Below are 19,044 nucleotides of genomic sequence, written 5' to 3'. Positions count from 1 at the left end.
CTTTTTCAATTTCAGAACCCCATACTTGTTTGAAGTGCTCATCCCTTTTTTGTAATTAGGGTTCCCATACCATTATTCAGGCTTTTCATAGGGAAGATTTTTTCTTTTTTCTCTTTTTGACTTTATAATCTTTACACAGAACCACAGAGCTTGAAACATTAGATATTCACTAGATGTTTTATGAATGGTGAAATGAATGATGCAGTGTGTGGTCAAAGACATGTCTGTGGAGAAAAGCTAAGAAGGGTGACGTTTATTTAGTATAAATGCACAGCATTTCTACCCACTAAGCTTCATCAACCTGTAACAAAAGAGCCATAATTTTGGAGACCAAAAATATTATGAGCAGTACAGCTGAAATGAAGGGATTGTTATGCCAGGGAATGATCTGTGTAGTGAAAAGCAGCAGGAAGCATGGAGGTTTTGCCGAGAAATCTTATCTTTAGACTGCTTATACGTAAGATGTTTATGCCTCTCTAAGCACTGAGGACAGTCTAAGGAACAAGATCATAATAACTTCTCTTTCAACTAGTATTGCATTAACTGTGAGAATGGAAGGCAGAGTAGCTACACAAATGAAACTAAAGATTTAGATGTTGACTTGTAGGCAAAGTCCAAATTAAACAATGATAGGGTTGTTTAATGTGGAGAATTATGGGCAGAAGTATCATTTTTTAACCTAATTGTCAAATTATATCTACGGTTATCTCGAAATTTAATTTAGAGATTTAAGAATATATATAGTAATACTTTGCCTTCATTATATCTAGTTTTCAATGTGTATGCAAAATCTTTAACAACCCTAGTTATCAATTTGTATATAAAGTGATTGGGGAAAGAAAAAATGGATTCTCTAGTCTAGAACATTGGTTTTCAAAACAGGTCCCTTCTATTTCTGTTGGGATGAGATGTCTTAAATAAACAGGGCTCCAAAGATTTCATGAAAACTACTGCTGTAGACTAATTTTATAACTAAATAAGTTTTTCTGAGTAATAGTTCTTGGATTTGTGCTGGCTACCTTAGGTCATTCTATTCAAGCTGTAAACAAGATGATATTCGTGGTCCTTTTTAAAGAATACTTTGGAAGCTTAGTAATAATGGGCCAGGAGGAAAATATTTTCTAAAAACAGTGAAGTCTGCCCATGGAACCCACATTAAGGAAGGAATTCAAAGTAAATGTACTTTAGGTAACTGAATCAGCTTTTAATCTGCTTCAATAAAAATAAAAGATTTGTTAAATAGAAAAGGCTAGGGCATTCCTTCTTGATTAGTACTAGTGGGTAAATGTTGTATAATGGCCGAACTAATCCTTGCCTACTCAAAAATAATGAGATGATAAATTCAAACTAATTGTATTATTTTATTCCTTAAAATAGAACGAATATACCCTAAGTATTTATGAAAAAAGTTTCTGGCACATCCATCACATATAAATTGTCTCATGAGTGTAGGAAAAACAAGTTTTGTTTTCATTAGTTATGGATAATTAACATATAGTTACTTCACTGTGCTATCATTATAGCTTTCAAAATTGTAATAGAAGAAATTGCACACTGATACTATACTAGATAATAAAATGAACACAAAAGCATGCATCACTCAGGCACAGGATTTTAAATTAGTCAGGTATGATATTATGTTCAATATATAGGATCTGGAGATATAAAGAGGAAAATAAATAAAGAATTTTCCAATGTAATATTATTCATCAGAGAGAGCCTAGACAGTCAAAAAACAATATAAATAATACCTAAGGTTGACCAGGAAACTAAATAGTTTGTCCCCTAGGCTTCAGTATTTAAAAAAAAATTTCCTAAGTGACGCCAACCCTCTTTCATAGAAAAAAAATGTCAGAAGAAATCAGATATCCTTAATGAGCAGTGGCTCTGTAGCTATATTTGTATATTTAATCAGACCTTTCCTCATTACAGATTATAAATAAAATATGAAGCCTTTGCTTCACGCATTAGTAGCCAGATGCAACAATGCATACATAAATTATTTTTCACTTTATACATTGAATCCAAGCACGATAAGAAAGAAGCACCTACTATTTTAAAAGTCTCTAGCCTTATTTAATCTAGGCTACTGTGAATAGGAGAAAAATAGTTGCTAAAAGATGGCAGAGTTCACTCAATCCAATGAAATTTTAAAACATCTCAAAGTAAACAAAGCCAGAGAGTTCATCAGCTAATGCTGCGTCATAAGGTTATCTGCATATTAGGTGATCCCAGTGGCTACAGAACTGACTTTCAGAAACACTAGTGCTTTGAGAAAAAATGCGAACCATATTATGACTTATAAGATAAATACTGAATGTGTTCTGGGACCAATTTTCAATTTTAACTTTTTCTAATAACATTATCTCAAAGATTCTCATTTCCACTTCTCTATCACTTAGTAAACATTGTACTGTCTTCAATAGCAATCATTTTATGACTGAAAATTATGATTAAACATATTATCATTTTATAATTTAACAGTTACTAGCACCCTTTATATACATATATTTGTATACGTAAAGACGCTAGCAACTGTTATATATTTATACTTAAATATTTATTTTATATATTTAAATATATACTTACTTATATATTTATATATGTGTACGTACACAGATGCTTCTTGACTCACAGTGGAGTTATTTCCTGATAAACCTATCATAGTCAATAATATCGTAAATCAAAAATACATTTAATGCCCCAATAAACCTATTGTGAAGTCAAAAAATCATAAGTTGAACTGCCATAAATCAGGAACCATCTATGTATAACATACATATATATTATATATAACATATATATACACACACACATATTATATGTAACATATATATATATATATATATACACACACACACGCACATATCAAATCATATAAGCAGCTCCCATACTCATAATACAATGTGCCAGGCTCCCTTTTAAATACTTTATATATATAAATTAATTCTCTCAACAACGCTGTGTAATAGGTACTATTATTATCCCCTTTTTACTAAAGAAGAAACTGAGAAACAGAGAGGTTAAGTAACTTATCCAAAGTCATACCTGTTGTAGGTAGTGAGACTAGGATTTAAACCCAGGTGGTGCAGTATCAATACCCACACTCCTAACTATGTATAAAGGATATTTTAAGAGATTATAATTTCATTTGCAAATAAGGGAAGGACTTTAGTAAATAGTTAGTGACCAGCCAACAACAACAATAAAATGCTAACGTAAGGCATCATTCATTCTTAAATATCTGACCAGGAAATGACATGGTATGTGTTTGCCTGTAGGTATCCTTGTGTCCTTTTGTTTGTTGCATGTGAGATAATCCTAAAGGCAGGTTAGGCAGCACTTTTTAGAAGAAGATTAGTTATTTTTTAAGGAACATGTACTGTCTATCCATTTAGTTGAGAACTGGAAATTTTTTTTTACTTCCTAAAGGGATTTATAGACCCGAAGTATCTTTAGACATTCTCTTCACTTTGACATTTTTCATGTATTCAAATGTTTATATCTCTCAGGATTTAGTAGTCCCCCTACATTTCTTATAAATTCTTCCCTACTCTTAGTATGTGGATCAATCTTTTTCTCATTTTAGTTCCTATAGCACATATAGAATGTACCATTCATTGGCAAGTAAATGTTTCTTGTCCTACGAAATCTTCTTCTGTCTCATTTTTAAATCTCATTTCATAGTTTGAATTCTTATCTCTTTAGCTTGACTGAAAACTCGGGGCTTCTACTTTTTTCCATAATGCGTAGAATATTATAAAATAAATATTTGTTGATACGATTTTCATTAAATGAACTTGGACAAGCTGTTTATTTAGCAAGTGCGGAATTCATGCCACAAGGAGACTAAGTTAATTATCTATGATTGCACCAATATTTTTTAAATGATCAAAGATTACATTTCCTCACTCTTGATATAATTCCTATCTGCTTATAGATCATGCTACTTCTGCATTTGCAAAATAATTATCAGTATCTCAGTCTTTTCTTCACTCTGTACTACAAAAAAAGAAAATATATTATAAATCCAGTTAATAAACATTAAATGAAAACAACAATGATTGAACTTAGCACGGAAATCTGGTGAAACCTACAAATGCCACTTCTATGTCACTATTTCATAGAATCATACTAAACAATTTTGCCTATTCTTTTTCTTGGGATGTTTTAATAGCCACTCATGAAGTTGGATGTATTAGTCAGGGTTCCCTAGAAGGACAGAACTAACAGGAGACATATCTGTTTATTTATAGATATAGATTATAGTTATTTTTATTTATAGATATAGATATCCTATTTTATATATATATATATATCCTGATAGAGTTTATTAAGTATTAACTTACATCATCAGAAGATCCCACAATAGGCCGTCTGCAAGCTTGAGGAGGAAGGAGAGCCAGTCCAAGTCTCAAAACTAAAGAACTTGAAATCCAATGTTTGAGGGCAGGAAGCATCCAGCACGGGAGAAAGATGTAGGCTGGGAGGCTAGGACAATCTCGCCTTTTCAAGTTTTTCTGCCTGCTTTATATTCACTAGCAGCTGATTAGATTGTGTCCGCCAGATTAAGGGTGGGTCCGTCTTCTCCAGCCCACTGACTCAAATGTCGATCTCTTTTGGCAACACCCTCACAGACACACCCAGGATCAATACTTTGCGTCCTTCAATCCAATCAAGTAGACAGTTTAACCATCGCAGTGGGCAACTAACAGTTATATAACATTCTCCTCCATTATGGTAAAATTTCTAAATGAGAAGTCACGCCTTCCTCCTTCACTAGCACATGGGAGCCTGGTGCCTAATCTAAAGGTGTAAATAAATATTTATTAATATCAAGTGCAAAATGAATGAATAAAGACCATTTACATTGAGAACTTCTTCATGTATTATTTTTAGTTCCTACAGAAATGCTCTGGGATGGTTGCTGTTCCCATAAAAAGAAACAAACTGAGAGAGGTTAGCTGAGCTGCCCCTGGTTACAGAACCACTAGAATTGAAGTCTGTTTGCATTCTACAAGCTAACCTCACCTAGCGAATAATAGCTCCGAGCAGCCCTCCGTCTTGGCTTTTCCAGTTTGTATTTGAGTCCTTCTGCAACCACCAACTATTTTTTCTTTAAACTTCACAGGTGTCAAGAGCTCACATTTTGTATTATTTTAGGTAGTTGTGAAAGGATGTATTTTGTTACAAAAATTTAGTTGAATCTGTAAATATTCTGGACGAAATTCTTACAGTACAAAGATCCCTAACCTGAGAGTGTAGTCCTATCTGACACTGCTACTATTTAGTCATAAGTCAAGCTTTATATTGAAAATTAGGAAAAGAGAGCCAGGATTGTGTACTTTTGTAAAGAATTAAAAGATATTTAATAAATACTTGACAGATAAATGAATTGATAAATTATACTGAGGTTCTGGCCTTGAAACTATTTGACTTATGAGATGACTTATTACTGGGTCAATAACTAGTGAACTACCTAACGTAAAAGATGGTTATTTTATTTTTTACTTTATTAGAATACTTGTACTATATATTCAAATTCTGAGCAGGAATGTTAAACATTTCTCCATTTATCAGGTCTAAAACTTACAGCTAAATGAACTGAAAGAAGTATTTCAAAATCACACTTAGGAATAATGATTCCTGAAAGCTAAATCAAAAAGGATTCACTATAATGAAACAAAATAAGTAAAAATTGTTCTTAGGACATTAAATCTAATTTTTCTTTCTTTTAAACTACATTATTAATTTGTGTAAGTTTGGGACATTAAATTGAAAATATACTGTATATACTAAATTAGACATACTAAATATGCTAAATTGAAGATATACTAAAAATAAAGGACATTAGGTTTAGGACATTAAATTTAAAATATTTTAAAATAAATATACTAAAATATACTAAATTGAAGATATATTAAAAATAAAAGGTACCTAAAATTGTGTAAAATGGTGGTTTCATTTATGTCAGAGCATTTGAATGTGAAATTTTGTTCTATTTGATGTTACATTATTCCTTCTCATTCTTATTTTATATCCAACAGCCTAACCTTCAGTACCAAATGACCCTCAGGCAAGAAAGATGGCACAGCAAAGTAATTTGTAAAGTAAAACTAACTTTTAGTGAATTCTTTAAGGAATTCACTGCTTCTTAACATTTAAAATTAACCTTTTCATGTCACACATTATTAAAAGCAAATCCAATTAAATTACATAGCTTCTGTAAAGTAATTTCCCCTTGGACCTAGGTGCCATTTCTACCTCTCCAGGGAAAATGATATTTTTAAAAATTAAAATTAATACCAAACTTGAGAAATTATCATTTTAAACCTGTGTAATGCAAATATATATTTTGTATTTGAAACTATAACTTTCTTACACATCCATAATTTAAACAGCTCCCTTTAATCAAAAATACCTAAGAACATGACCTAATTCCCCCATACAACCAAGACATGGATAACCATCAATGTAGAGAGTATCTAAAGAAATCTTATAATTACACTCTTATTTTTTAATATTTAATTTCTCTTTTCTTTTGGAGTCATTTTTTTAAACAAGAGAAAGTAGGTAAAATAAGATGATGAATAAAATGAAGAGATGGTAGCAATAAAGTAATGAAGGAATTAATGTATTTTAAGCCATATGAAAGGCATGATTTTCTTTAAGTGTTTAATATAGAGTTAGTAGGAAGATTAGTGGTTGCAGGGTTACAAAGAAAAGAGGGATGAATAGTTAGAGCATAGTGGATTTTTAGGAGAGTGAAACTATTCTGTATACTACTATAGTAATGGATATATATTATCTACATTTGTCCACATCCACAGAATGTACAAAACCAAGAGTGAACACTAATGTAAACTATGGACTTCGGGTGAAAGTGATGTGTCAATGCAGGTTCATCGATTGTAACATATGTACCACTCTGGTGCTGGATGTTGATAGTGAGGAGAATGTGCATGTGTGGGGGCAGGGGCTATGAGAACTCTCAGTAATGTCTGCTCAATTTTGCTATGATCCTAAAACTTCTCTAACAGAGAAAGTATTTTTTTAATATTAAAAACAAAGCAATGAATCCTAAGAGATAACGTTGGTCCACAGACACTTTCCCCTTACTCCCTTTTCTGGGTCCTGAGTAGGAGATTATCCTGAGATACAAAGGATCTCATATTCCATACTTGAGATCCAGAGCAATGCTTACTTTGCAACAGTCATGCATCCTTCTAAATAGCCTTTTAAAATTTTAGTCATTTGTGTTCTTGTTTTCAAATCAGTGCACATTTTTGAAAGCACTAGCTATGTACTAAGTTCATACCTTGTGTACAGGAAACATGCTCTACATGCAGTTAGAATACCTGAGTTTGAGCTCAGATTTGGCCCTCCTTGGCCTGCAGTGTGGAATAAATCCTTTAAATGCCCTAAGCCTTACTTTACTCATCTCTAAAATGGGGATAGCATCTACTCTGCTAACCTCAATAAATGAAGGTCAGATGTATAATGTGTCTTGTCTATAGGAAAAGCACTGAACAAGTGGATGTTATCATCATATTCCTAGTATCAGAGATTGTGTCTTATTTATTGTTTTTCATCTCTTAAGGTCCTTGGTACAATGCTTATCATGTAGACAGTACTTAATGAATAATAAAATTAGAATCATGTCACATGTTCATGGATTGGGAGAATTAATGTTAAAATGTCCATATTACCCAAAGTGATCTACAGATTCAATGCAATCTCTATCAAAATGCCAATGACATTTTTCACAGAAATAGAAAAAATATTCCTAAAATTTATATGGAACTACAAAAGATTCCAAATAGCCAAGGCAATTTTGAGGAAAAAAAAGCCCAGAGGCATTACTATCTGATTTCAAAAGCCATTACAAAGCTAAACTGCTCAAAACAGCACTCTACTGGCATAAAAACAGACACATAGACCAATAGAACAGAATAGAGAGCCCGTAAGTAAACTCACACATTTATGATCAATTCACTTTGATCAAGGTGCCAAGAACACAGATAGGGGAAAGGAGAGTCTCCTCAACGAATGGTGTTGGAAAAACTTTATATCCAGACACAAAGGAATGAAATCAGACACCTATCTCACACTATATACAGAAACAAACTCAAAATGGATTAAACACTTGACTTGAAACTGTAGAACTACAAGAACAAAAAGCAAAAATAGACAAATGGGATTACATCATACTAAAAAGTTTCTGTGCAGCCAAAGAAACAATAAACAGTTAAGAGCTAATCTATGAAATGGGAGAATGTATTTGCAAACCATACATCTGATAAGGGGTGAATATCCAAAATATAAAAGGAACTCAAACAATTGAATAGTAAGAAAATAAATAACACACTTTAAAAATGGGCAAAGGATCTGGACAGACATTTCTTATAAGAAGACATAAAAATGGTCAACAAGTATATGAAAAAATGCTAAATATCACCAATCGGGTAAATGCAAATTAAAACCACAATGAGATATCACCTCACATCTGTTAGAATGGCTATCATAAAAAAAAAGATAAATGTTGGAGAGAATATGGAGAAATGGGAACACTTGTACACCGTTAGTAGAAATGTAAATCAGTACAACCACCATGGAAAACAGTATGAGGATTTCTTAAGAAGCTAAAAATTGAACTACCGTTTAATCCAGCAATCCCACTACTATCTGCCCAAAAGAAAAGAAATAATTATATCAAAAAGACCCTGCACACCTATGTTTATTGCACCACTACTCACAAAAGCGAAGTCATGGAATTAACCTAAATATCCATCGATGGATGATTGAATAAAGAAAATGTGATATATATATATAATGGAATACTGTGCAGTCATAAAAAAGAATGAAATCATGTCTTTTGCAGCAATGTGGATGGAGCTAGCGCCCATTATCCTAAGTGAAATAACTCAGAAAGAGAAAAATTAAATACTGCATGTTCTTTTTTTATTTCTTCATTTTGTTTTTTCATAATTATGTTCTTTTTCAAGCTTTTTTATTATTATTATTATACTTTAAGTTTTAGGGTACATGTGCACAATGTGCAGGTTAGTTACATATGTATACATGTGCCATGCTGGTGTGCTGCACCCATTAACTCGTCATTTAGCATTAGGTATATCTCCTAAGGCTATCCCTCCCCCCTGCCCCCACCCCACAACAGTCCCCAGAGTGTGATGTTCCCCTGCCTGTGTCCATGTGTTCTCATTGTTCAATTCCCACCTGTGAGTGAGAATATGCGGTGTTTGGTTTTTTGTTCTTGCGATAGTTTACTGAGAATGATGATTTCCAATTTCATCCATGTCCCTACAAAGGACATGAACTCATCATTTTTTATGGCTGCATAGTATTCCATGGTGTATACGTGCCACATTTTCTTAATCCAGTCTATCCTTGTGGGACATTTGGGTTGGTTCCAAGTCTTTGCTATTGTGAATAGTGCTGCAATAAACATACCTGTGCATGTGTCTTTATAGCAGCATGATTTATAGTCCTTTGGGTATATACCCAGTAATGGGATGGCTGGGTCAAATGGTATTTCTAGTTCTAGATCCCTGAGGAATCGCCACACTGACTTCCACAAGGGTTGAACTAGTTTACAGTCCCACCAACAGTGTAAAGTGTTCCTATTTCTCCACATCCTCTCCAGCACCTATTGTTTCCTGACTTTTTAATGATTGCCATTCTAACTGGTGTGAGATGGTATCTCATTGTGGTTTTGATTTGCATTTCTCTGATGGCCAGTGATAGTGAGCATTTTTTCATGTGTTTTTTGGCTGCATAAATGTCTTCTTTTGAGAAGTGTCTGTTCATGTCCTTCGCCCACTTGTTGATGGGGTTGTTTGTTTTTTTCTTGTAAATTTATTTGAGTTCATTGTAGATTCTGGATATTAGCCCTTTGTCAGATGAGTAGGTTGTGAAAATTTTCTCCCATTTTGTAGGTTGCCTGTTCACTCTGACGGTAGTTTCTTTTGCTGTGCAGAAGCTCTTTAGTTTAATTAGATCCCATTTGTCAATTTTGGCTTTTGTTGCCATTGCTTTTGGTGTTTTAGACATGAAGTCCTTGCCCATGCCTATGTCCTGAATGGTAATGCCTAGGTTTTCTTCTAGGGGTTTTATGGTTTTAGGTCTAACGTTTAAGTCTTTAATCCATCTTGAATTGATTTTTGTATAAGGTGTAAGGAAGGGATCCAGTTTCAGTTTTCTACATATGGCTAGCCAGTTTTCCCAGCACCATTTATTAAATAGGGAATCCTTTCCCCATTGCTTGTTTTTGTCAGGTTTGTCAAAGATCAGATAGTTGTAGATACGTGGCATTATTTCTGAGGGCTCTGTTCTGTTCCATTGATCTATACCTCTGTTTTGGTACCAGTACCATGCTGTTTTGGTTACTGTAGCCTTGTAGTATAGTATGAAGTCAGGTAGCGTGATGCCTCCAGCTTTGTTCTTTTGGCTTAGGATTGACTTGGTGATGCAGGCTCTCTTTTGGTTCCATATGAACTTTAAAGTAGTTTTTTCCAGTTCTGTGAAGAAAGTCATTGGTAGCTTGATGGGGATGGCATTGAATCTATAAATTACCTTGGGCAGTATGGCCATTTTCATGATATTGATTCTTCCTACCCATGAGCATGGAATGTTCTTCCATTTGTTTGTATCCTCTTTTATTTCATTGAGCAGTGGTTTGTAGTTCTCCTTGAAGAGGTCCTTCACATCCCTTGTAAGTTGGATTCCTAGGTATTTTATTCTTTTTGAAGCAATGTGAATGGGAGTTCACTCATGATTTGGTTCTCTGTTTGTCTGTTATTGGTGTATAAGAATTCTTGTGATTTTTGTGCATTGATTTTGTATCCTGAGACTTTGCTGAAGTTGCTTATCAGCTTAAGGAGATTTTGGGCTGAGACAATGGGGTTTTCTAGATATACAATCATGTCTTCTGCAAACAGGGACAATTTGACTTCCTCTTTTCCTAATTGAATACACTTTATTTCCTTTTCCTGCCTAATTGCCCTGGCCAGAACTTCCAACACTATGTTGAATAGGAGTGGTGAGAGAGGGCATCCCTGTCTTGTGCCAGTTTTCAAAGGGAATGCTTCCAGTTTTTGCCCATTCAGTATATTGGCTGTGGGTTTGTCATAGATAGCTCTTATTATTTTGAGATATGTCCCATCAATACCTAATTTATTGAGAGTTTTTAGCATGAAGGGTTGTTGAATTTTGTCAAAGGCCTTTTCTGCATCTATTGAGATAATCATGTGGTTTTTGTCTTTGGTTCTGTTTATATGCTGGATTATGTTTATTGATTTGCATATGTTGAACCAGCCTTGCATCCCAGGGATGAAGCCCACTTGATCATGGTGGATAAGCTTTTTGATGTGCTGCTGGATTTAATTTGCCAGTATTTTATTGAGGACTTTTGCATCAATGTTCATCAAGGATATTGGTCTAAAATTCTCTTTTTTGGTTGTGTCTCTGCCCGGCTTTGGTATCAGGATGATGCTGGCCTCATAAAATGAGTTAGGGAGGATTCCCTCTTTTTCTATTGATTGGAATAGTTTAAGAAGGAATGGTACCAGTTACTCCTTGTACCTCTGGTAGAATTCTGCTGTGAATCCATCTGGTCCTGGACTCTTTTTGGTTGGTAAGCTATTGATTATTGCCACAATTTCAGAGCCTGTTATTGGTCTATTCAGAGATTCAACTTCTTCCTGGTTTACTCTTGGGAGGGTGTATATGTCGAGGAATTTATCCATTTCTTCTAGATTTTCTAGTTTATTTGTGTAGAGGTGTTTGTAGTATTCTCTGATGGTAGTTTCTATTTCTGTGGGATCGGTGGTGATATCCCCTTTATCATTTTTTATTGCGTCTATTTGATTCTTCTCTCTTTTCTTCTTTATTAGTCTTGCTAGCGGTCTATCAATTTTGTTGATCCTTTCAAAAAACCATCTCCTCGATTCATTAATTTTTGAAGGGTTTTTTGTGTCTATTTCCTTCATTTCTGCTCTGATTTTAGTTATTTCTTGCCTTCTGCTAGCTTTTGAATGTGTTTGCTCTTGCTTTTCTAGTTCTTTTAATTGTGATGTTAGGGTGTCAATTTTGGATCTTTCCTGCTTTCTCTTGTGGGCATTTAGTGCTATAAATTTCCCTCTACACACTGCTTTGAATGTGTCCCAGAGATTCTGGTATGTTGTGTCTTTGTTCTCATTGGTTTCAAAGAACATCTTTAATTCTGCCTTCATTTTGTTATGTACCCAGTAGTCATTCAGGAGCAGGTTGTTCAGTTTCCATGCAGTTGAGTGGTTTTGAGTGAGTTTCTTAATCCTGAGTTCTAGTTTGATTGCACTGTGGTCTGAGAGATAGTTTGTTATAATTTCTGTTCTTTTACATTTGCTGAGGAGTGCTTTACTTCCAACTATGTGGTCAATTTTGGAATAGGTGTGGTGTGGTGCTGAAAAAAATGTATATTCTATTGATTTGGGGTGGAGAGTTCTGTAGATGTCTATTAGGTCCTCTTGGTGCAGAGCTGAGTTCAGTTCCTGGATATCCTTGTTAACTTTCTGTCTCGTTGATCTGTCTAATGTTGACAGTGGGGTGTTAAAGTCTCCCATTATTATTGTGTGGGAATCTAAGTCTCTTTGTAGGTCACTCAGGACTTGCTTTATGAATCTGGGTGCTCCTGTATTGGGTGCATATATATTTAGGATAGTTAGCTCTTCTTGTTGAATTGATCCCTTTACCATTATGTAATGGCCTTCTTTGTCTCTTTTGATCTTTGTTGGTTTAAAGTCTGTTTTATCAGAGACTAGGATTGCAACCCCTGCCTTTTTTTGTTTTCCATTTGCTTGGTAGATCTTCCTCCATCCTTTTATTTTGAGCCTATGTGTGTCTCTGCACGTGAGATGGGTTTCCTGAATACAGCACACTGATGGGTCTTGACTCTTTATCCAATTTGCCAGTCTGTGTCTTTTAATTGGAGCATTTAGCCCATTTACATTTAAAGTTAATATTGTTATGTGTGAATTTGATCCTGTCATTATGATGTTAGCTGGTTATTTTGCTTGTTAGTTGATGCAGTTTCTTCCTAGCCTTGATGGTCTTTACAATTTGGCATGACTTTGCAGTGGCTGGTACTGGTTGTTCCTTTCCATGTTTAGTGCTTCCTTCAGGAGCTCTTTTAGGGCAGGCCTGGTGGTGACAAAATCTCTCAGCATTTGCTTGTCTGTAAAGTATTTTATTTCTCCTTCACTTATGAAGCTTAGTTTGGCTGGATATGAAATTCTGGGTTGAAAATTCTTTTCTTTAAGAATGTTGAATATTGGCCCCTACTCTCTTCTGGCTTGTAGAGTTTCTGCCGAGAGATCTGCTGTTAGTCCGATGGGCTTCCCTTTGTGGGTAACCTGACCTTTCTCTCTGGCTGCCCTTAACATTTTTTCCTTCATTTCAACTTTGGTGAATCTGACAATTACGTGTCTTGGAGTTGCTCTTCTTGAGGAGTATCTTTGTGGCATTCTCTGTATTTCCTGAATCTGAATGTTGGCCTGCCTTGCCAGGTTGGGGAAGTTTTCCTGGATAATATCCTGAAGAGTGTTTTCCAACTTGGTTCCATTCTTCCCACCACTTTCAGGTACACTAATCAGACGTAGGTTTGGTCTTTTCACATAGTCCCATATTTCTTGGAGGCTTTGTTCGTTTCTTTTTATTCTTTTTTCTCTAAACTTCCCTTCTCGCTTCATTTCATTCATTTCATCTTCCATCACTGATACCCTTTCTTCCAGTTGATCACATCGGCTTCTGAGGCTTCTGCATTCTTCACGTAGTTCTCAAGCCTTGGCTTTCAGCTCCATCAGCTCCTTTAAGCACTTCTCTGTATTGGTTATTCTAGTTATACATTCGTCTAAATTTTTTTCAAAGTTTTCAACTTCTTTGCCTTTGATTTGAATTTCCTCCTCCTGTAGCTTGGAGTAGTTTGATTGTCTGAAGACTTCTTCTCTCAACTCATCAACATCATTCTCCGTCCAGCTTTGTTCCGTGGCTGGTGAGGAGCTGCATTCCTTTGGAGGAGGAGAGGTGCTCTGCTTTTTAGAGTTTCCAGTTTTTCTGCTCTGTTTTTTCCCCATCTTTGTGGTTTTATCTACTTTTGGTCTTTGATGATGGTGATGTACAGATGGGTTTTTGGTGTGGATGTCCTTTCTGTTTGTTAGTTTTCCTTCTAACAGACAGGACCCTCAGCTGCAGGTCTGTTGGAGTTTGCTAGAGGTACACTCCAGACCCTGTTTGCCTGGGTACCAGCAGTGGTGGCTGCAGAACAGCGGATTTTCGTGAACCACGAATGCTGCTGTCTGATCGTTCCTCTGGAAGTTTTGTCTCAGAGGAGTACCTGGCCGTGTGAGGTGTCAGTCTGCCCCTACTGGGGGATGCCTCCCATTTAGGCTGCTCAGGGGTCAGGGGTCAGGGACCCACTTGAGGAGGCAGTCTGCCCATTCTCAGATCCCCAGCTGCGTGCTGGGAGAACCACTGCTCTCTTCAAAGCTGTCAGACAGGGACATTTAAGTCTGCAGAGGTTACTGCTGTCTTTTTGTTTGTCTGTGCCCTGCCCCCAGAGGTGGAGCCTACAGAGGCAGGCAGGCCTCCTTGAGCTGTGGTGGGCTCCACCCAGTTTGAGCTTCCCTGCTGCTTTGTTTACCTAAGCAAGCCTGGGCAATGGTGGGCGCCCCTCCCCCAGCCTCGCTGCCGCCTTGCAGTTTGATCTCAGACTGCTGTGCTAGCAATCAGCGAGACTCTATGGGTGTAGGACTCTCCGAGCCAGGTGCAGGATATAATCTCCCGGTGCGCCGTTTTTTAAGCCCATCAGAAAAGCGCAGTACTGGGGTGGGAGTGACCCGATTTTCCAGGTGCCATCTGTCACCCCTTTCTTTGACTAGGAAAGGGAACTCCCTGACCCCTTGTGCTTCCCGAGCAAGGCAATGCCTCGCCGTGCTTCGGCTCGTGCACGGTGTGCTGCACCCACTGTCCTGTGCCAACTGTCTGGCACTCCCTAGTGAGATGAACCCGGTACCTCAGAGGGAAATGCAGAAATCACCTGTCTTCTGCGTTGCTCACGCTGGGAGCTGTAGACCGGAGCTGTTTCTGTTCGGCCATCTTGGCTCCCTTCCTCAATACTGCATGTTCTTACTTATAAGTGGAAGCTAAACAATAGGTGTATGTGGATATACAAAGAGAAATAATAGACACTAGAGACCACAAAAGTGGGAGGGTAGGAAGAGGGAAGGTTGCGAAATTGCCTATTGGGTACAATGTTCACTATATGGGGGATGAACACACTCAAAGCCCAGGCATCACCACTGTGCAATATATCCATGTAACCCCTGAATGATTTAGGCCCAGTCAAGCCTTCAGATGACTGCAGCCCTGGCTAACATTTGACTATAATCTCAGGAGAAACCCTGAGTCAGACCCACCAAGAGAAGCTGCTTCTGCATTCCTGACTTTAAGAAAACTTTTGAGATAATAAACATTTATTGTTTTAAGCTGCTAGATGTTGAGGTCATTTGTTACGCAGAAATAGATAATAATACAATGATACTATGATGTAAAATAATGTTCTATTATGAAAAAATACTATAAATGAAGAATTTTATATTATCTTTATATTTTGTCATAGAGAGTTTGGCAAATAACTGGGAGCTGTTGCTTATAGAACCATTGAAGACTCAAACTGAAAAGATACAATTCTGTTAGAAATACTGGGAAATATAAATGGGCCATATAACTTGATTATAGTCTTGGCCTTGACCCTGCCCAGTGCCATAATGCATCCCACTTGGGCAGTTCATTATCATATAATTTTGGACCAGCCTGTCTGGCACTCAGTAAGTATTTGTTGAATGAGGGAACAGTAGGAAAGATGAGGAAACATGTAGGTCTGGGGAGAGTACAGACACCCATGTTAGAGACTGCCTACTTTGTGCCAGACATTGTGATGAGGACTTCCCATGAATAAACAAGAAAGTCCTTATATTATTCAAGACAATTGATTTGAAATTATCTGCTGTCTAAAACTCGTTTGGGAAGAGGGTAAATAGAGAAAAGGAATCTGCTGGAAATAAAAAATATGTACGTATCAGGCAGAACAGAATAATTAATTACATGAACCAAATAATCCTAGAAAGTGTGCCTTGTCAATATCTCAGATGAAAGATGTTTTCCTAGACTATGTGATTTTTTTACAAAGAGAGAAAATCTTAGTAAACCAGTATGAATTATTGGAATGCAGTTTTCACCAGTGTTCATTTAAAACTACCTGATGCCCAAAACAATTGCGTGAATGAGACCTGCTTGCTTACCAATATGTTTACTATTGCCAGTATAATTATAGATTTTATTTTAAAGTTTGTTCTTTATGTCAGCATACTGACCTAAAGTAAACTTAAAGATAAAATAAAATGATGATAAATTAAAATTTAAAGGTGTCAAAATATGTATTGGTTATATACAAAAATATTTTATTTAAACTGTGTACTTTAATAATTTAAAAATGTGTATTCCATTAAATGTCACCCCCATTAGGATCTAAATATATTGTTCGAGTTCTGAAAGAAGAAATTTGGGCTTAGAAATAGACCCAATTATTTATTTTCACATCCTTTCTCTTCTACCTTCAACTGGAGTAACAAGCATCAATCTTGCTACCTATGGGGACTAAATATTCATCTATCAAATGACTTGAACCAGGTGGGGTGGCTCACACCTGTAATCCCAACGCAGGAGGCTGAGGTGGGAGGATCACTTGAGGCCAGGAGTTCAGGGCTGCAGTGAGCCATGATAGTGCCACTGTACTCTAGCTTGGGCAACAGAAGGAGACCTCAAGCCTAGGAAAAGTTAAAAATTACAGAATACACAAATGACTAGTTTAGAACATTTTAGCACACTTTTGAATTTTGTTGTTATACAACTCATGTTCCTTCTAATTCCAAAATCTATATACCTTTGAATTATACCTTTTACCCAAACAATAATGGCAATTAAAGATAAATAAATAAATGGAACTATAATTTATATAAAGATTCGGAGCACACATCTTTTATATACCTGGTTCAGCTCAATCATATGCCATACCTAAGAGGAATTCCATGGCACACAAGCGGCATTCACAGAATGACTTTCAGAACTGCCCCTCCATATCTTGCTCTTTTTTCTTGTTATCCCATGGTGGACCTTCGCCTTGTTCCCTGGTTTCCTTGCTGCTCAGCTTGACACACTGATTGGCTGCCATCCCAGTTCCAGATTCTGGCTTGATTCCCAGAACTCAAAATCACAGCTCTTCTTCCTAACTTCATCCCAAATTATTAACTGATAATGAGCTCTTTTTTGGAAATGACTCCCGCCCTGCTGCAATACACACTGTCCTCCTGGTGGCTGACATTTGGCTGCGCCTGGCCTGCAGAGTAGGGATGAGATATTGTTGGTTTGGCATACTTGCATATGTGAGAGATTATCTACCCATGATCTGCATGCTGTTGTTGGACCTGTCCAGTAGAAACTGAGCCTCTCGCCATCTCCAATTCTCCCTATATACCAGTCTCTAAGGAGATCCTGTTTCTGAAAGTGCCTGCTTCAATATCTCTCTCAAGTGACAGATCATTTACTCTCAGTCAAACCCCTAGGTCTGAAGAGTAAGAACAATCACATATTCAAATATATCCACACCTAATTTAAAAAAGTGAACTTCTGCCCCTGAAAAGAAAAGTTAAAACAAAACAAAAAACACGAGTTGGTAACTTGGCACCCAACATTAAATTTGCCAATTCCTGATACACACAAACACACAAACAATCCAGAGTGCATTGACTCAAGCAAATGAGTGATCGAAGCTCATAACAAAATCTTAGGCCTTCAATTTCTAAAACCTGGCAAGAACTACCTGGAAAGGAATATGTAAGAAAAATGACTCTGAGATCAATATTTTCCCTGTGTGAAAGGAGCTTGTATCCAAGAATCTATAGAGGGAAAACAACAACAACTTTGCACTTGGCCTGTGAGTATTTTATCTCTTCACATGGCCACATACTAGTATATCCCAAAGAAGCTGCAGGAAATGAATGGAACCTGGCAGTTAATGCAATTCAGCTTATCCATTCATTCAACAATTATCTTTTGCACCTCCACAATGTATGGGATCATCAATGCCCTTGCGTTCACAGAGCTTACATTCTCCTATAGGAGACAGACAGACAAGAATCTAATAAATAAGTTTAGAACACTTGACAAGTAGTGCTAAGTGCTGAGGAGAAAAATAATATAGCAGGTTAAAAAGGAGTGTTGCAAGTGCTGCTACGTTAAACAGTGCAGCTGGGGAAGAACTTTCTTAGGCACTGTCATTTGATCAGGGGTCAGAATGAGGCAAAAGAGAGGGAGCTGTGCAGAAGTGTGCAGGGAATTTCAGGCAGAAGTAATGAAGAATGTGAAAGTCCAGGAACAATATGCTGGGAGAGTACAAGAAGTAGAAGGACCAGAGCACCTGCAACAGAGAAAGAAAGGTAGGAAGTGGTAGAAAATTATTTCAGAAAGGTAGCCAGAGGCCAGATAACATAGATCCTTACAAGCTGCAATAAACGCTGCAGTTTTGGGGTTTTTTTCCAAGTGCCACTGGAAGCCACTTTGAGGAGACTCAGTTATTCCTCACAATGTTTCACTTGTCTGTAATAGAATTACACACTCATATCCTTTGCCATATTTTGTTGCAGTGTCCTCCTATGGAAGTAGAGTATATTTCCTCATACCCTTGATGCATGTGACTTGCTTTGGCCAATGGAATGTTAACAAATGTGACTCAGAAGCCTTAAATATGCTCACATTGGCTGTCTAGGCTTCTGGAGACATTACCTTGCTTAGCATCTGATATGGTTTGGCTGGGTCCTCGCCCGAATCTCATCTTGAATTGTAGCTTCCATAATTCCCATGTGTTGCAGAAGGAACCTGGTGGAAGGTAACTGAATCACGGGGACAGGTCTTTCCCATGCTGTTCTCATGATA

This window comes from Homo sapiens, chromosome 4 (assembly GCF_000001405.40).
Source record: "Homo sapiens chromosome 4, GRCh38.p14 Primary Assembly".
Taxonomy (NCBI): domain Eukaryota; kingdom Metazoa; phylum Chordata; class Mammalia; order Primates; family Hominidae; genus Homo; species Homo sapiens.
Note: the sequence above shows the minus strand (reverse complement) of the source record.